At 35.2% G+C, this 21,209-nt stretch overlaps 1 long non-coding RNA gene across 1 annotated transcript; it reads left to right on the forward strand.

Moving 5' to 3' along the window:
* Positions 1–393: 393 nt before the first annotated feature.
* On the forward strand, positions 394–3,963 carry LOC105377385 (uncharacterized). The gene is made up of 3 exons (XR_939098.1): positions 394–442; positions 569–683; positions 3,809–3,963. It is a non-coding gene; the product is annotated as an uncharacterized LOC105377385 (long non-coding RNA).
* Positions 3,964–21,209: the final 17,246 nt, after the last annotated feature.

Below are 21,209 nucleotides of genomic sequence, written 5' to 3' on the forward strand. Positions count from 1 at the left end.
ATTTTGGTTGCTTCCAAGTTTAGCGATTACGAATGAACCCACTATAAACATCCATGTGTAAGAGTCTGTATGAACCTAAGTTTTCAGCTCACTTGGATAAATATCAAAGACTGTGGTTGCTTAATTATATGATAAGAGTGTGCTTATTTTTGTAAGAAACCAACAAATTTTGCGGGAGTGGGGGCAGTCGCTGTGCTGTGCCATTTAGCCTTGCTACTTGCAATGAATGAGAGCTCCTGTTGCCCCACATTCTTGCCACTATTCAATGCTGTCAGGATTCTAGAATTTTACCATTCTAATCGGTGTGTAATTGAGACAGCTAACTATAAAGGGGTCCCCAGAGAACCTCCAATTGGCCTGCGCACTGGGAGAGCAGGGTGGAGCCGTGGAAGTTTGCATCATTAGCTGGGGAAAGGAGCCTGGACCTTCTTGTTCCTGAGTGGTAACCAGGGATTTAATCTAATAGATGGGAAGCCAGCTAGCAGGACTCTTGCTTTGATGAGTGTCCCTGTTTCCTTTTTTTTTCTCCTTTTCATCAAATAAAACCTGCCCTTCTCATCCTTCAAAGTGTCTACAAGCCTAATCTTTCATGGTAGTGTGACAAGAATCTCATCTTTAGCTGCTGAACTAAGGAGAAAGTCCTACAACATTTTTTGGAGTCCAGACATGGGGCATGAGAGAAGGTAAGTGAGCTGCAAAAAAAAAAAAAAAGAGAGAAAACCTTTTTACTTTTGCTTCTAAGCCTTTTCCTCCTCAGACATCTGAAGGTAGAAAAAACTGTGCCCCAAGGGCTGTAGCTGCGCGTGGGACAGACTGGGAAATGGCAGCTCCTTGCTCCCCTCCTGGCCAGGGCTAGAATGCATGGCTCAAGGGTGCCCAACAGCAGGCTGGGTGGCATTCCCTGCCATGCACTTATGCACATTCCCCTCCTTGTACCCCACCACCCCTGCCAGGGAATCCAACTTTGTCCCACAGCAATTAAGCTTCTCTCCAGGTTAGAGAAATCATTTGGGTAAGAATAAGAGGTTCTTCCCCAGGCAGCATTTTTAAACTGTGTGTGTTTTTTTTTTTTAATAGATTTTTTTTTCCTTCCTTTCTTTTATTGGGTCAGAAGTTGACTTTTAAATGATCTTTTTTTTTTTTTTCCAGAAGATGTTTTACTGGGCTAGGAATGATAAGGATCACTGTTTATATTCTCCGTAGAGTTTTGTGAAAAAGGATTTGTGAGGCTAGTCTTAAGCTGTAGCCACTCTGGTGTGCTTTGCATGTCTTTTTGTATGGTCCCCAGAAAACTCTGCTTCAGGCCTCCATCTTGTTTTATGTCCTAGGGGCATGGCCTGTAACCCTGTGGCAAGGCTTTGTTTAGCTTCCACAGGGCCTGGATTCAATCCTGGCTTAGGAAATGAGTCCTCTCTGGTTTGATATCTGCATGTTTTCCTAGCCCTGTTCCTTAAAGGGCTCCACCCAGTGACTGGGCTTTCTTCTGCTTGTCTGTGTCATTATGTATATGTTGTATGTGATGTCTATAAAAGAGTGCTGATTAATTGGCCTAAAGGAAGATAAGCACTTGGATCAGGTACTTTTTAAAAGGGAAGATAAAAGCTATGGTACCTTTCAGTTCACATGACTTTAATCCTTGGGAAATAAAAAACAGCCTTAAAGGTTATTGGTAAAATGCAGATGTTATCAAAATGTAAATAGGTGAACTAAATTATGCAGGTCAGGTGCAAGGTTTGCTAAATGTTTTGAGGTTATAAATTGCTTTTTGCTTTTTGAGAACGGTTCAACTTAGTAAGACCTGGGGAACATATGGAACTAACCACACCCTTACCAATGCTGGAAGGAGTCAGACCTTGGCTGCACCTAACACATAATCAAAACAACTTACCAGGTTTTACATTAAAGTTAAAAATTGCTAAAGGTTACCCTTATGACAGATAACTGAGATACTAGAAATAGATTTACATGCAAGGTGTGTAAGAACAGTAAAATGTTTTCTTAGCAAAAGGTTATAAGAAGTGCATTAGTTCATTTTCAAGCTACCGATTAAGACATACCTGAGACTGGGCAATTTACCAAAGCAAGAAGTTTATTAGACTTACAGATCCACCTGGCTGGGGAAGCCTCACAATCATGGTGGAAGGCAAAAAGGAGCAAGTCATGTCTTACACGGGTGGCAGCAGACAAAGCAAAAGCAAAAGACAAAGACAAAGCAAAAGCAAAAGACAAAGACAAAGCAAAAGACAAAAAAAGGGCAGGGAAACTGCCCTTTTTTAAAACCGTCAGATCTCATGAGATTTACTCATTGTCATGAGAACAACATGAGAAAGACTTGCTCCCATGACTCAATTACCTCCCACTGGGTCCCTCCCATGCCACATGGGAATTCAAGATGAGATTTTGGTAGGCACACAGCCAAACCATGTCAGAAGGCATAAAAATGTAAATTCTTGCCAAGGGTTAAAGAATTGTCTTAAATTAGATAAGATAAAGCTAAAAGTTCAAACTAGTGGTGGAAGAATTGTAAAAATTAGCCTTGCAAAAATTCCATGTATAAACATGTTGACTAAATGCAAAAGGGTATTATATGGTTTTTATGTAAATTGAGCATTGAAATAAAAACACAACAAGGTACTCTTAAGATACTAATATGCTCTTTGGCAAAATTTATAAAGGATTATAAATGATTTTTCGCTTTTTAAGTTTTTGAGTCATCACTTTGACAAAATAAATAAATTATGGCAATCTGGAATTCTATTTCATAACATCAAGTATTTTAAATATTTAACATATTTATCAGGCTTCCCCAAATCAAACTTCAGTTTCAAAATTGTCTTTCCTGATGCCTGGCTTTTTGGATGGTTCAGAAAGCCCTTGGAACATGCAGAAAAGAGGTAAACAGAATTATTTGACATATTTAGTTACATGAGGTTGCCAAAATGATATTCAATCTTTTTTAGTTTATATTTTGTTGAATAGTACTAATTTGTTCCAAAATTGCATGGGATTTCTAAAATTCGAATGTCTAAGCATAGACTATCAATGATAATTAAGGTTTTGTTAAGTTATTGTAAACCGCAGGGATAACCAAATGTCTTTGTCAATTGTGTTTCTAACTGTAACTGTCCTGGACATTTTGTTATTCACAGAGAACTGTTGTCTTATTTTAATCCTTCTCAAAAGATAATTTATAATAAGCTATGGAGCATTGAAGGTGCTCTCAAATACAGGTTTCTGATAACTTTGGAGTTTGTAATATTGGAATAAAGGAAAAATGTACAGGACTCATGAAGAGCTAAAAGGTTCAGAAATATAAAGCAAAACAAGAGGTAATTGAATGAACTCAGGAAACTGAAGTAAACTTTTGGACTTTTGGATGGAATATTGCTAATCCTTGTTTTGTTTTTCAGAATCAAGGAAATTTATTTTGAACTATTTACAGTCTTTGATAATTGAGTATAGTATACACCTTTGAATAAAATCTGGAGCATTTTTGTTTCTCTCTGCCTGGTTCCCATAGAATTTGAAAACTATCTATGAGTTTTCTCAACTTACAGCAATATAGTTGTTTGCATCAGTGCAATAAGAATCCATTTTGCTTTGCAACAGGACATAATTGGAGAAATTGGTTGTTTTACCAAAGCTTATAAAAAAGACTAGAAGGGTGTTCTTCCCTTTAAGGAATTGAGCTTGACTTGCAGAGCTGACAAAAGCACCTTGGGAAAAATCTGGCCTAATACCCTTGCCTATGCAGTCCCTGCACAGGATTTCTGACCCGTGGTCAGTAAAGAATGCCACTTTCTAACAGGCCCAGGAGCTCCAACTTTGTCTTGGGACCTTAAGAGGAAAGGATCACCCAACTCACAGATATCTGAGGATACAAACCCATGGCTGGGCTCAGCTTTAATAGGATTTATCTGAGGAAGATCCAGAGGAAGATGATAACAGAGGTTAAAAGGCATGGCACAGGTGAGCATGGCTAATTTCTGCTGATTAAACCAAGCCTCCCGTTTCATGGCTAAAGGTCATACTAGTATCCATGGCATAAATGAGGTCTAGGGAACTTCAAAACTACTGAACATAGGGGGTATTCCCTACTTGAATAGGTGAGAGTAGATCATTCTTATTCTCTAAGTGCTCCCTGTTTCATGGATGCAAGCCACTTTGACACCAATGGCTGGCACCTGCCAAGGTCACTGGTGCTCAGGGATCCAAGGACAGAAGAGGGAAAGAGGATGCTCTTCCTTCGCTCCCTCACATACCCTGGGTATTTGTTAGGAAGTGAAGGAACCAAGGATGCTTGTTCCCCTTTTTCTAGATGAATAACCATTCATCCCTGTATCCCTTTCAAATGCATCCTGAACTACTAGGACTGCTTTGAAAAAATGTCTTCTTTTTTTATTTCTCCTCCTCTGTCCTCTCTTTGTTGGTAGGTAATTGTGTCTCTGTACTATAGCATACTACCCTCAGGTGCATCCTCCAGACAGGGAAGAGTTAATTTCCCAAAACTCAGACTGGTTGGCTTATGATTGGGCACAGGGAAAGGGAACTCAGAAGCCCAACATGCCAGCAAAAGGTTAAAGTTTTTGACAAGTCAGGATTTTGGCCTCCCTCTCCCTGTGCAAACCGATAAAAGGCCTCAGGATTTTTGAGCTGTCTTTACCCTTCCTTTTCTTGTTTTGAGACATGTTTTCTAATAACTAGTTTGATCTCTTCTTGCCTTCAGGCCATCAAACTCCAAACAGTCATGCAACCAAAGTCTTGGACAGAGGGCATTTTCTGCTGGGGACCCTTAGATAGTTCTCTGAGGGAGATCTAACTGCCTTTTCCCTAAAACAGCGCCCCCTGTCAGCAGGAAGGAGTTAAGATTCGTCTTCATCCTTCTCCTCCTCCTCCTCCTCCTCCTTCTCTCTCTTCTGCTGCTCCCACTCCTGCTCCTTATTGTCATATTTATCCTTATCCTTATCCTTATCCTTATCTTTATCCTTATCCTTATCCTAATGTCAGTTAGATGTACTTCTTTAGAGGTGGGAATGAGACAACCAAGGGAAGAGAATAGAGAGCCCAGACACAGATCCATGTAACTGTCTTCAATTGCTCTTTGACAAAGGCAATATAATGGAGAAAATATATTCTTTTCAACAAATGGTAGAAGAACAACTGGACATACATGTGCAAAAAAAGAACCTATACACAGACCTTAAACCCTTCATACAAATTATTTCTAAATATATAATAGAGTTAAATGTAAAATGCAAAACACTAAAAGTCCTAGAAGATAACAGAAGGGCAAACTTGGTAACTGAGGTATAGTGATGACTTTTTAGACACAACACCAATGGCACAATACATTAAGGAAAAAATTGATAAGCTTGGCTTAATTAAAATTTAAAAACTTTGCTCTGTATAAGACAATGTCAAGGTAATGAAAATACAAGACACAGGTTGGGGGGACACTATTTTCAAGGGACACATCTGATAAAGAACTGTTACCAACAATATATAAAGAACTCTTTAAATTCAGCAGTAGGAAAATGAAAGGCCAGATTAAAACATGACTCAAATACTTCTTTAACATATCCTTGACCAAAGAAGATATGCATATGGCAAGTAAGTACATGCAAAGTTGTTTTTTTTTAACATCATATGTCATTAAAGAATTGCAAATTAAGGCAACAATGAGATACCATCGCACATCTATTAGAATGGCCAAGATAAAAAACACTGACAACACCAAATGCCAACAAGTGTGCAGAGCAATGGGATTTCTCACACATTGTAGGTAGAAATGCAAAATGGTACATCTACCCTAAAAAAACTCTTGGTTTCTTACAAAATAATTATAGTCTTACTATGTGGTCCAGAAACCACACTCCTTGATATTTATCCAAATGCACTGAAGAATTATGTCCATACAAAAACTTGCATATGGATGTTTACAACAGATTTATTCATAATTGCCAAACTTGGAAGCAACAAACACGTCTTTTTTAATGTGAATGGATAAACAGTGGTATGTGCAGACAATGGAATATTATTCATTACTAAAAAGAAATGAGCTCTCATGATAAGACATGGAGGAAATTTAAATGCATATTCCTAATCTAAAGAAGCCTAATGAAAGCCTATCTGGAAGCATGCAAGTATGTCCCCGGCTATATAGTGTATGATTATATGACATTCTGGAAAAAGCAATATGATGGAAACAGTAAAAAGTCAGTGGTTGCTAGAGTTTAGTGGAGGAAGAGATGAATAGCCAGAGCACAAAAGATTTTCATGGCAGTGAAACTTGTCTATATGATACTGTAATGTTGAGTATATGCCATATTCAATAAGACTCATTAATTGTAATGAATATACAACTGTGGTGTGGAGCAGGCATAGTTGGGAAAGCAGTCTGTGTGTAGGGACAGTTGCTATAGAGAAACTCTCTGTAATTTCTACTCAATTTTCTATGAACCTAAATTGCTCTAAAATATAAAGTTTATTTTTGTAAATGGTTACTAACAGTATTAATTACAGAATCTTTAGCACATTTATTGTCCTTTAAATTGATTTCTCCTGTTGCTTCTATATGCAAATAAGAATATTTTTTACTTACATCAGATGTTTTAATTACCAAGCACATGCATTACTTCATTTATTCCTTAGAAAAGCGTTTTTAGGTTTTTACTGTAAATCAGGTATTGTTTTTTCTTTATCCAGATAGAGAAACCATAGCTGAAAAGTTAAAACCAGGATAACACATCTAAGGTCCCACATTACCTACATTTAGAATCTTAAAATGATTAACCAAACTTCTCTTGTTATTCTTGTACACAACAAAAGGGTAAAACATTAGTTCGGTTTCAGAAACTCTAAATTTTATTTGAGGTGTTCTAATGGTAAATGAAAAAAATAGTTTTGGAGGGCAGATAATTTATCAGGTTTAAAAATGTAGATTTTGTACTTTGTTAGCCCTTTTGTTGATGTGATTCTTCATGTTCACTCTTATACTAAGTGAAATCTGCCAAGAAAAAAAAATACATACTTTTTTTTTTTTATGGAGCAGCAGAGAGATGAAATGGTTTGGGTTTTAATTCACTTTTGAAGCTCAAATTAAATGACTTGGGGAAAAATATCTGAAGAAAAGAATCTTAATCTTCTCCCACTAGAAAAAAAAAAGCTGGAGGAACAGTAAAATGTGGAACATGAAGAAGGAGGAAGAATGTAAATGATGCACATATTTCCTGCTTATCTAGGGGAGGATGTGTTTTAAAATTTGAATTGTATGAATGTTCTGAATATCAGAGACAATCATTTTTAGCATAAGCACATAATTATAATATACTTTTAATGTTCATTTTTTGCCTTTATCATTTTTACTATCTATTGCTATAAATAAAATCAGAAGTTAATTACATTTTTAATGTAAAAATAATATTTCATTATTCATTTTTCAAGCTTCTTATTGTTTCTTATTTAATTATTCCTATAACAGTCAATGAAAAATCATATATTTAGTACCTTCCTCTCATCAGGACCCACCCCAAAACTGAATCTCAGATAAAATCAGCCAGCTAATTATCTTTAAGGTCCATGGAAGACAAGACGCTTTCACTAGGTAAGTTAGATACATATTATTTATTGTCTAATTAAAATAAATATTGGCTAGTTTTCTAAGATAATAATGGTTACTGTGGAGAAGCTGGCATGATTAAGAGAGATGACTCTTCAGCCAGTAATTTCTCATCTGCCAGACCAGGGTTATCATCCTGGGACTGAGATGATCTTGCTCATCTCTGGATTGTCAGTACCTAAAATTACATATTACACATGTTAAAATTCTCTACATGCTTTTTAAGTCATATGAAATTAGAAGATGCGGTGTGGTATGCAAGAAAAGCCTGATTTTCTGTTTCACTAATGCAATTTTAGGAAAAATAGTGCCCTAGTCAGAAGATTTGCTTTAGACCTCACAATTCCTAACAAGTCAAAGACAAAAAATAATGAGGCACGAAGATGAAACTCATCATTTTCAGTAAAAGTAGTGTGTGTTAAGATAACATTATAATGCCCATAAAAATGTGAGACTGTAAGGTGAGATGTTTTGTTTTCCATGCCTGTCCCAAAGGAACAGCTATAAGGAAGATGGAGAAAAAACTGCAGTATCTGAATGTAACATATTCATGTCCAGAAAATGAAGAAATCAGCCAGGAAGTCAGCTGTGACAAATCACAAGATCTGGAGTATAAATAGGCATTTAATTGTAGAAATCAAATGTGTTCATATAGAAAGTTGCTAGAATGGTCAGAATTCACCCAGTATGCCTTGAGGTAATCAAGAAACAAGTCACTGTGACCAAGCTTGTCCTTATGATTTATTAAGATATCTGTAGCATAGTAAGGTTTATTTAAGTAACTTTAAACCATGAGTGGTGTATTGAAGAGGAGTAATTACCCTTATCAAGAATTGTCTAACAATTAGTAAATATTACAAAAACAGAAAAAATACACTTTCGGTCAGATAGTTTAACTGTATGAGTTTAACAGAAAAGCTGTAACAGTCTTTTATAGGAAGCTTATAACTGAATACATAAGCAAATGAGTTTTTAAATTAATCATAGATATGATACTACTTGGGAAAAGTTGGTAAACAATTTAAATGTTTCCAGCCTAGTAAAAGTACAAAGAAGAGAAAATCAAATTGTTGATCTTCATGACATTTTTTAAAAATTAAAATATCAGCAAATCCTTAACATTTTTATTATTATTTATTTATTTTTTTATTGAGACATAGTTTCGCTCTTTTTGCCCAGGCTGGAGTGCAACGGCGCGATCTCGGCTCACTGCAATCTCTGCCTCCCAGGTTAAAGCGATTCTCCTGCCTCAGCCTCCCAAGTAGCTGGGATAACAGGCGCCTGCCACCATGCCCGGTTAATTTCTTGTATTTTTAGTAGAGACGGGGTTTCACCATGTTGGCCAAGATGGTCTCGATCTCTTGACCTCGAGATCTGCCCGCCTCGGCCTCCTAAAGTGCTGGGATTACAGGTGTGAGCCATCGCGCCCGGCCAATCCTTAACATTTTTATTGTTTTCAAGTTGACACCTATTTTCTTTAAGGTAAAATATATGGGTAGAAATCCTGTTAGAGGTGTTGACGTTTTCCACTACCATAAACTGTCTTCTTTTCTGTTTAAACACTTGAATAGTTTTTCAAAATCTGTATTCTGGAATGTCAAGGAAGCAATATCCTTGAGATTGTCTTAGGAATGATGTAAGACAATATTTAAAATGGAAAATTCAATGGATTATCAACTTATAATTTTGAGATGAAAATAACATTTATTATCTATTGATGGATAATATGAAAATAACTTAGCCCTATCCTGAAAAGCTCACAGTGTTTAAACAGGACTTCTTGTTCCAGTGGATAACTTAGTGAAAACTGTTCAAAAGTAAATTAGAATCTAAATATATAGCTCAAACACAGATTATTTGTTATTGTGAAAGTGAGCATCAACTACTATGCAAGGCATACATAGACCTCATCTGCAGGCAATGATGTTTTACTGAAGTAAGATAAGAGGCGCTTGCTCCCTTAGTTATAAAATAACAAAAATAAATTCTAACAGACATTTCTAGGTTAGAAGTGGATTAAACCTGGGCTGGATGTGAATTAAAGAAACTCTGTTCAAAGACTCTTTATCACTCCTCAAAGTTCTTATGATACTTAGCAAAATGAAGCACAACTTCTACCCTTACAGGAAACGTCTTGGAATTCTACCCAATCATTACTCTCCTTGCTTAAAGCTTTATGGACTGTCCAACAGAGATGCTGTGTTTCTTCTTCTTCTTTTTTTTCTTTTCTTTTTTTTTTTTTTTTTGAGATGGAGTCTCGCTCTGTCGCCCAGGCTGGAGTGCAGTGGTGCGATCTCAGCTCACTGCAAGCTCCTCCTCCCGGGTTCACGCCATTCTCCTGCCTCAGCCTCCCAAGTAGCTGGGACTACAGGTGCCCGCCACCTTGCCTGGCTAATTTTTTGTATTTTTAGTAGAGATGGGGTTTCACCATGTTAGCCAGGATGGTCTCGATCTCCTGACCTCGTGATCCGCCCATCACGGCCTCCCAAAGTGCTGGGATTACAGGCGTGAGCCACCGCGCCCAGCCGTTTCTTCTTTTTATGCTGCTCTTTTCCACTTAAATTTGTTAGCCTCTTCACTTAGTTTTCTTACATTATCAGGGATACTTCAGGGGGAAGACGGTAGAAAAAAAAAACATGTTGATGAAATTACTTTGTCAAGTTTAACATGCTTTATAAGGCAACAATGTTAATTCTTAGACAAGAATCTTAAAATGAGTACACAAATAAGTCAATACTTTAAAATAAATACCCAACAATGTAACACCACAGACATCAGTTAAAATTTATTAGAGCTTAAAGCTTTTACTTTCAACAAATCATATGTTTTTTTTTTTTTTGGAAAGCCTATGTTAAAAGGTATTCCCATTGGGTTTCCTAGTGTCACATTGTGTAATTTACAGCAGGTCTTCTTAATCTCTCATTTTTACGCAAGTAAATGGAGAACCTTATTTAAACAAAGATGTACTAATTATTTGATGCAAAATGATGTTTGTTGAAGTAATGACTTGCTGAAATAAATATTTTAATAGATATTTTAAATGAATTTCCAAATAGTTGCAGAGAACACTAAATCTAAAAGAGAATTGTAGAATGCTCATATTTTTAAAGTTATTACTATTTTTAAAACTGAAATCCTGTATGTTATGCTAAAAGTCAACAGAGATATATCATCTTGAATAAATCACATTCTGCAAATGGGTAGAATTCAGCCTGACTTGTTAAACAAAGCTATATCTATCTTCTTGTCTGTTTTCTGTCTTAAATAAGACGAACAAGAATGAAATAAAAACTATGTAATACATTTAACATAGTGCTACAATACAGAATATAATGCTCATTGCCATGTTATTTTATCTCACACTTTCTCAACATTTTTCTCCCTCTATTTCTCTTCTGCGTGAAAATATTTCTGAGCCTAGTACCACAGTTACCTGCAGGAAAACTCTTCATTGTGACGCACCTTCGCAATGCCTCAAGCATTATGCAGTTCATATTCTGTTACCAAGTATTATCTTCTGTAGTATACCTTTATCTATTTATCTATATATGTGTCCACATGTCTATATGTCTGTTAATATAGATATACAGATATGTGTGTATACATATGCATTGCATATATATAGCTACTGTCTTTTATATATACATATGTATATATTTTACTTTCCAAACAAACTCATGAAGCCCTATATTATATCTTATAGCCCTAGTCCAGAATTGTATATGCACAAATGGGCAATACATAGACACACATGCACACACACATACACACACACAATGTGATCAATTAAATTCACTATTTGTTTAAGTAACTATGTATTCTTCGTCTATGGCAAAGTGACAGAAGTGTTTAAAAAGAACAGATAGAAATAATCTGTTTATATTAGTGTAAATTTTATAGTTTATTACACATAAAGACGTCACCAAACTGGAAATCAAACAAGAGAAAATTGGTTGAAGCCACAACAAAGAGTACTTTGCTCGGTAATTATAACACAATCTCTTAGAATAAAGCCATATTTGTAGGAAAAGTCTATCCCATACATGATTGGTTTAGTAATTTCCTTCATCTTTGTAATTAATTTACAACATAATACAGCCTGCAAAAACTATACAATTTAAAAATGAAAATATCTATATAAAGAGTAATATGCTTCCTCTGATATCTTTTATTGAAACAGTCAATACTGCAATGAGGAATTTCATCTTGATTTGGATTTGTAGAGTATGTGCTCACTGGAATATACAGATGTAAATGTCACTACATGTTAAGTGTCAAGTGTAAAACAGGAATATTAATTATCTTACAAGTTACACAATAACCTTCAGTACACAAATATTTGCTTTAGGCTACACAACTTGATGTCCATATTAAATTCAAGCAGTAGGAGAAAATACTAGCAGGAAACACGTTTCCAAAATGTTTAAAAAAAAAAAAAAAGTCGCAGAGGTTCAGCTAAAAACAATGCAGTTCAAGTGAAATTAACAATATGTTTTTCCTTTACAACATTCCTTCACAGATGGAGTCTGTCTCCTCATCTGTTTTTCCAGCATTGGAGAATCAGGGAAGAATAGTTGGTGTCATTATGGGTTTATACTTTTTACAGACCTGCACTTTTAAAGCTTTTATATAACTGACCGTTTCCACTCATTCAGAAGAGATTATTTGGTGGCTACATGCACTGGTGCCCAAATTCATGTCTGAAATGATTAAGAGAGGAAGGGTGATATTGATGGCTTTATTTTCCTGCCATTTCAACCACAATAAAATTTCACATTTTCTTATTGTTGGAGCTAAATTGCTTTTCCTTTCAAGTGAGAAATACTGACATTGGATCTGTAGAACAGAGGAAAAATTTTTGAAGGATACAGTATTACTTCATAGAAAAGAAGATATAATTAAACCACAGACTTGAGAATGCCACCAGTCTTAGAACTTCCAGAGTCCTTAGGAGGAAAAAAGCTTACCTATGTTTCTCTAGGACATTACCATTAATCTACCTCAATGCAAAGCATTTTATTATAGTTTAAGTCACAAATTTCTGAAAGAGCAAATTTGATTGCCCTACTGTGGATCCGGCAAAACACTCATACATAGACAGCATGCCTTTGAATATACTTTTTGGGTGCCCATATCTACATACTTATTGATTGATTGGAATCATTACAAGAGAGGAGGAAATCATGCTAAATCAAGTAGAGAGCCTTAGTGCTTAAATTGAATGACATCTTTTGCACACTCACTTTTTGGTAACTAAGAGGTACCTAGATAAATAAATAGTTAGAAATTTAAAAACAACAATTAAACTGGCAGGAAATTTTAATACTGGATCTCATCTAAAGCATTTGTAGCTCTAAAGTGAACATATTAAAAAATGATATTGGGCATTTTTAATGCTATATTATCAAAGAAAAACAAAACCCAACAAAACAAGAGATCTAATATATATTTTTTGTAAACATATGAGCATATTGTGTATGTAAGTATCTTACTGTGTGCCTATCAGTATCCATTCTTTCTCCTTTCTACCGGGAAGTCTGTTTTGTCCAGGTGTTCACACTTTCCTTCATGTAACCTATATGCATCAAGAGAAGATAAAATGACCCCCTACATGGAGAAAGAAGGGGTGACAAGCCTGAGGCCATTTCCATTTCCAGTGATCATTGGTCAGCTCAGAATAGGGAGAAATTGCCCTTTTGCTATGTTTGTATATTTACTATGATAAATATTTTTTTACAATATATTAATAATTTTGCTATTAATTTAAATGTTATAATTCAACATCCCCATATATTCTATCTTGCTCTTCAGGAAGGAATAGAGATGTAATTAGAGTGTGTCCCGAAGCATTCAAAACATTCATCATTCAAATCTCAGTAAGTAAACAAAATGCCTGTTTGCTCTTGCAATGCATTTAAACAAGATGTACTGCTTATTAGTTTATAGAAGTTGCACGTGTTTATGTGTTCAGTGCTGGCAGAACCTCTGATACTATCTTATTTTCTTCCCTGTTTGAAGGCAGAACCAGTGCTAGCACATCTCAAAAAACAAAACGTATCTGTGATTTTGTATGTAGGTGTGTTTGTAGTTGGCTATATCATAATAAACTTATTCCTTTAAATATATGATATATTTTTAAATTCTGCAATTATGAAAAAACACATTTAAGCCAATAGTAAACATACAGACTCTAGAAAAAGAACCAGAACTTCAGAAAATATTTAACGTTAAATTATAGAAAACAATTGCATCATATTATTTAGTTCAGTATCTTAAGTTACAGAAGACTTTCAGTAAATTTGGGATGTATCCCAGAGGGTTCTTAGGATACAAGTTCCCTTTGGAACTTGATATAAGATAACAGCAACAATGATGTCATCTAATATTTATTAAACAATGAATGTGACAAATATGTGCTAAACACTTTACACATATAATCATATTTAATGACTCCGAATACATAGATAAATGCTATATTCAGTCTACACACATGAGGAAACAGATATTGTCCAGATCATTAACTTATTTGAAGTCTCAAAACTAACAAGGCTAGACTTCACTAAGAACAGAAACGCCGTTCTCTACTTCCTCTCTACAGTGGTCTTAACTCTCATATGCAAACAGGAGCAGAGCTGGGCAGGTGAGTTTTCTAGGCTGGATGTATTGTTTAGCCAATTAATTCCTTACATTGAGAGAATTTATGATCTTCCCATATCAGTGCCTCAGGGAAAAAGCAAGACTGGGTGAGGAATCAGTTAGCTGTGAAAGAATAGTGACATTGTGTAACTGATAAGAGTGAAAAAAAGAACCATTAAGTTTAAGGATAACAGTTAAAGAGAATTTAACAAAAGCATCACTCTGAGGAATAAGGGGGTGTTAAATTTTTAATTGAGCTATGTAGATACATATTTCCTGGCAGAGAAGGCACTCTGTGACTTAGAAAAATAGAAAAATTATTTCAGAGCGTCAGCTGCCTTTATAAAAAATTTATCATAGATTGTTCAAGTTAATGCTAGAACCAAAAATTAATGGTCAAGTTTAACACAGAACTTCTAGTCTGTCCATAGTGACATCTTATCATTATATGTGAAGGTATAGAAATGACTATGGAGGAACTATTATATGTTCTTCAAAACATTATTATCATTTGTTATGTAATTTGATTTTTAAAGCCATTTTTTAAAGAATTAATCCTGAAGATTAAGGCATAGATCAGAAATAATGATGCCTTACAACTATTATGTACCCATAAAAATTAAAAAGAAATAATGATGCTATTTTTTGTCATAAAAGGAAGAAAAAATTAAGAACAGTATAATGCTGTTTAAGACCATTCAATAATGTCGACAGGTGGCTCCATTTTGGGGTTAACTCTACAATACAAATACAAAACCCATTCATAGATAGATAGATAGATAGATAGATAGATACTATGAAATTTGTTTTATTTACTTATAGTAACATGTAACTTTGCATGTATTCTACTTCTCCTATTCCATGATCATCTTTTAAAATGTTGTTTCCTTACACAAATCTCCAATAGTAAAAATAAATCACAGGTACCACATAGTTGCATTTTAGTATCCACACACAAACAACAACAAAAACAAACATCCTGTTCTCTTACAGGATGCAATTTGCAGGGCATGCCACTCAGGTTAGGGACAGTGCCAAAATTGCCATGACATCATATCATCTTCTCATTTTCAAGGATGCATCTAGATAATTTTCAACTCTCTGTCAGGTGATGTCAGTGAGAGTCAGGTTCTATCAGTGACGAAAAAAAATACATCACTGGTATTTTCATAAAAAATACTGTCAGATACCTATCTCCATAATCAAGAAAAGTACTCAGGCAAGTACTCAGAAATCTAGGCTCTGCCTCTTTCTGTTTTCTCCATTTCACTATTCAACAGAAATAATAACAGGAGAAACCTATAAAACATTGTAGAGGAGAACAATGTTACAAGAGCAACCAGTTTTTAATTTCTTTGGTGTGCTGCTCATACTTAATCTGCCAAAGGTTGGAATTGTGCTTCATATGTGATCTAGTATGAATTCATGGAAGGGACCTTTGCCTTTGAATTTGAATGGGTCCGAGTTTAAATTCTACTTAAACAACTTTTAAATTATGAGACTTTGGGACAGTTACATGCTCTCTGTAAGTTTATTTATATCTCCTGTAAAATTGACATATACACTTTATGGCAGATTTACTTTGTAAGAATGAGAGAAAATACGTTAACTAAATATTAAAGTAAGGGCTTAAAAATTGCATATGTTATTATTATGGTTACTTTATTGATTTTTAAAAGTAATTAATCATTTGAAAATAATTCTCTCAAATAAAGATGATTGAAAACAGTAAGATCATTTCCCAGAGAGCATACCTTCCTGGAGATGCTTTCTAAAAGATAAAAAAGGACAATATACATTTTCATTTTAAGTTACTTTTGAGCATGTGAATATTTTAAATGGAAAAATATGAACAAAATTAACAGTCCTGAAATTCAGAAAATCCTTAAAAATCACAAAATCAAATGCTTTAACCACAATGAATTCCTTCTGGATTGCTACTTAAAAAAATAAGATTTTCAGAACAATATGTAGTGGACAATAACAAACACTATAGTCCCATAAATACAGATTAGTCCCCTGTAACGCTTAGAATCAGAAAACATCTGCTCTAAACTTAAACAGAATCACATCCTGTGGTTGTGAAAAAAAAACCTCTTGAGTAATATGCTTCAACTTCAATATCACCTTTGAATAGAAGGTGGACTTTTAATTGAACTTTTATAACTTGCATGCATCTATTGTGTTTATCTGTATTTTGTGTGAGGATTTAGTCAGAGATATCTGAATAAAAGAACAGATAGATGCTTTATTTAAATTTAGAGAGAATGAATACTACATGCAGAGCTCAATAAAGCAATTTAAATAAGCTTTCCATCTTGTATACATTTTATTTAGTGATATATTCAATTTAGGAATTCTAAAATAGTGAAAACTGTAACTATAAAACAACCAATCCTACCTATGTTTCTCACAGCTGTATAAGCATAAAAGTATGTTCTGAGAATATAGTAATTTTCAAGGTGCTGTTAAAGACGTAAATATTAAACCAAAAGGTGTTAGAACCCTAGAAGACAACCTACGTAATAACATCCTGGACATAGGAAACAGGCAAATATTTCATAAATAGACACCAAAAGCAATCGCAACCAAAGCAAAAATTGACAAATGGAATATAATTAAACTAAAAAGCTTTTGCACAGCACAAGAAACTATCAACATAGTACACAGACAACCTACAGAATGGGGAAAAATTATTGCAAACTATGCACCTGACAAAGGTCTGTTATCCAGCATCTATCAGGAACTTAACCAAATTTATAAGAGAAAACCAAACAACCCCATTAAAAAGTGGACAAAGGGCATGAACAGATACTTCTCAAAAGAAGACATAAATGTGGTCAACAAGCATATGAAATAAAAGTTCAATATCACTGATCACTAGAGAAATGAAAATCAAAACCACAATGAGACACTATCTCACACCAGTCAGAATGGCTATTATTAAAGTCAAAAAATAACAGATGCTAGTGAGGTTGCAGAGGAAACAGAACAGTTGTACACTGTTGATGAGAGTGTAAATTATTTCAACCATTGTGGAAAGCAGTATGGTGATTCCTCAAAGAGTTAATGGCATTTGCAGCAACCTGGATGGAATTGGAGACTATTATTCTAAGTGAAGTAACTCAGTCCCACTCACAAGTGGGAGCTAAGCTATCAGGAAGCAAAGGCATAAGAATACATTGGACTTTGGGGACTTAGAGGAAAGGACTTGTGGGGATGAGGGATAAAAGACTATGCATTGGGCATATTGGGTACAGTGTACACTGCTTGGGTGATGGGTGCACCAAAATCTCACAAATCCCCAATAAGAAGTTATTAATGTAACCAAACACCACCTGCTCCCTAAAAATCGATTGAAATAAAAAAAAATTTAAAAACTGCTCATTTAGTAAAAACTAATTTTTTTTAAAAAGCAGAACTATCATTTGACTCAGCAATCCCATTACTGGGTTTATACCCAGAGGAATATAAATCATTATACCATAAAGACACAGGCATGCAAATGTTTATTGCAGCACTATTCACAATAGAAAAGACATGGAATCAACCTAAATGACAATCAGTGATAGACTGGATAAATAAAATGTGGTACATATACACCATGGAATACTATGCAACCATAAAAAAGAATAAGATCATGTCTTTTGCAGGAACATAGATGGATTTGGAGGCCATTATACCTAGCAAACTAATGCAAGAACGGAAAACCAAATACCACATGTTCTTTTATTTTTGAGAGATAGTAACTAACATTTATTGGACAGGTCCTATTTATTACATGTTATGTATCACACTTAATGCTCAAAGTGGCCCTGCAAGGTAAATAATAACAATCCTCATTATATAAACCCAGAAAGACAGAAAACAGACCCAGACTGGCTAAGTGACTTTCCGAGAGCAACAAAAAAATATATATTAGTGCTGGTCGGGCACGGTGGCTCACGCCTGTAATCCCAGCACTTTGGGAGGCCGAGGCAGGCAGATCGCGAGGTCAGGAGATCAAGACCATCCTGGCTAACACGGTGAAACCCCGTCTCTACTAAAAATACAAAAAATTAGCCGGGCGTGGTGGCGGGCACCTGTAGTCCCAGGTATTCAGGAGGATGTGGCAGGAGAATGAGGTGAACCCGGGAGGCGGAGCTTGCAGTGAGCTGAGATGGCGCCACTGCACTCTAGCCTGGGCGACAGAGCGAGACTCTGTCTCAAAAAAAAAAAAAAAAAAAAAAAAAATTATTGGTGCTGAGATTCAAACACAGGTGTTTTTTGCCCAAGCCCTGAGTGTTTTTAATATATTAGTGGTTTCCATACCTGTACTTCCACATGTTCTCATGTATAAGTAGGAGTTAAACGATAAGAACTTATGAACACAAAGAGGAAAATAATAGACACTGGGGTCGGCTTGAGGTCGAGGATGGTAGTGAGGGGAAGGAGAAAAAAGATAACCATTGGTTACTGAGCCTAATACCTGGGTGATGAAATAATATGTACAACAAACCCCCATGACACGTGTTTATCTACGTAACAAACCTTCACATGTACCTCAGAACCTAAAATAAAAGTTGAAAAACTTAAACTTCCATTATTGATTGGAATCATTTTTTGAAATTTTCAACCTTCCCAAGAAAGAAAAGTAAACAAATCATTCATGATTCCAGGTAGGAAGAAGAATTATATTTGAAGGTGAAGATGAAAATATATTTTAAAGAAGTTCCCGTTGGAGTTGTCACAGACTTCAGTAGGCTCATAGGTTTATGATTTCTCTTCAATTCCTAGCGTAGGGTTTTTTTTGGGGGAAGGGGATCATTCTATATTATTGCTTTTGTGTATCCTCTTCCCTGGTTTAATTTTAGGATTTAAAGAAAAGTCATTTTTGCTATCCTCCTCTGTTTTACACCATAATGAAAAAGAATACAAAAAAGATTTTCAAAATCTTTCAACTATTTTCTTTATTGGTTCTGTACATATCTCCATGTAACAACAGAGGTGAAAGAAGCTAAAATATTTATAGAACTGAATATATATAAAATACAATAGTTATCCGGCATTATTACTAGAAAATGACAACGAAAAGACAGAAACTTGAGGTTATGTGCCCCTTGACACAAGGGGCTACAGTGAGTGAGAGTTACTGTTAATACGACTTGTCCTCTATGGGAACTCTACATTCCAAGTTGCTTAGTGCCCATAACTAAAGTAGAAAGCCTCAGACAATGGCTTGAAGTATCAGAAGATGGAGTTAGAAAGTAGCCAGAAAGGCTGGGTTTTGAGATAAGAAATCCCATAGAGAAAGGAGCTCTAGCTGAAGGATCCCCAAAGTATACATGTAAGCTCTGCACAAATCCTTAGATTACACCTAAACTGTCCATGCCTATGAAAAATTCTAAGGTTCTCAGTAAAATGCCACAGCAAAAGACTGCAGGAGCTGAACAGCTATAGCTGTTGCAAAATGCATCTTTTGGTTTCGGAGTTCAAAAATTATTCGGCTACTGGAACAAAGATCAACACAGTTAAGAAGAAGATAAAGGAAGCCAGAAAATCAATCATTTTCTTATATACAAAGGAATGGGGAAAAGTTCCTTATTTGAAAGAAATAGCCACTGAGAGAATATAAATCTGAGGTGATCTTCATAAATATTTAGTGTCCTAATAGGAAATGAGGCCATAATTGTTGACTAAAAGGTAGTTATCTATAAAAATAGGAAGTAAAAAAAAAAGTAAAGTAAAAATGGAAAGTCTAGAATGAAAAAATGCAATAAACACAATGAAAAAATAAAGAGATGGGCTTACCACAAATGAGAGAGAGCAGAAAAAGCTTGAAATGAGAGACAGATCTATTGAAATGAAACTATGTAAAGAATATGAAAGAAAACAAGTAGTTCACACACACAAATATCTTACTTTTGCATAATATCAAGCAGTCTGACTTACATACCATTGGATTCAATATAAAATAAAGAGAAAGGCAATGGTGCAGATAAATAAATAATGTTAATTATTTTTCCAATTTTGGTGGAAAAAAATCAAATTTTACGTTCTGCCTATATGCCATTACAAGTCCAATAAGCTCAACAAAACTCCAGGTACATTAAAAAATCCTGCTACAACATAATCAAAATATCTACAATCAAAGATAAACAGAACTCACTGAAAGAAGAAAGAGAAAAAATGTGCATTGCCCATAGAATCACAGTAATATGAATTGTGACTGACTTTGTATTAGAAACAATGGAGACAGATAATGATGCAATGCCAACTTTAAAGGTCCAGAGAATAATGGTAAAACAATAATCAACCTGAAGAAAAATGCTTACAGATATAAGCTTGCATATACAGAAATGAACAACAGTAAGAACTGGTAAATGTTTGGGTAAATAAACAAGACTTAAATTTTATTTGATTGAAATAATTAAAATGTATTTGCCAGATTATCCTGTTATTCTTTCTCATTCTACTCGTCTTTCTTTTTTTTTTTCTATTTTCCTCCAGTCCTGAAAAATTATATTCAACAACGTTTAGGTAAGTATAACAATAGTGAGCATCTGTGCCTAAGTGAGGAAAGAATGGGTGGTAGTTGGGATGGGGCTTCAGCACCTGTGTGGGATGAGGAAGGCCTGTGTCCAGGAGGGCACCCAGATGTGGATGTTGCATACTGAAGAGAAGAGGAGGGCATCCCGATAGTGTGGCAGCCTGCCATGTGGTGTTGGAGCATGAGTCACTTAGAGAGGACCTCAATATGAGAGACTGGGCCAGTGATAGTAATCCAAGTTTTAGCAAAGTGATGAAGGTGTAGATGCAGGAGGGAGTGGCACATGGTATGAGGTCAAAGCATATGAACATTATGGAAAGTGCTTGCCTATGAAGGCTGTCCAGTGCTGAGACATTGAAGTCTAAATGAAGTATGATGGGCATCCTCTTACAAAGATGATGCTATATAAGGTACTGGAGGCTGTGT

Source organism: Homo sapiens, chromosome 4 (genome assembly GCF_000001405.40).
Source record: "Homo sapiens chromosome 4, GRCh38.p14 Primary Assembly".
In the NCBI taxonomy this organism is placed as follows: Eukaryota; Metazoa; Chordata; class Mammalia; order Primates; family Hominidae; genus Homo; species Homo sapiens.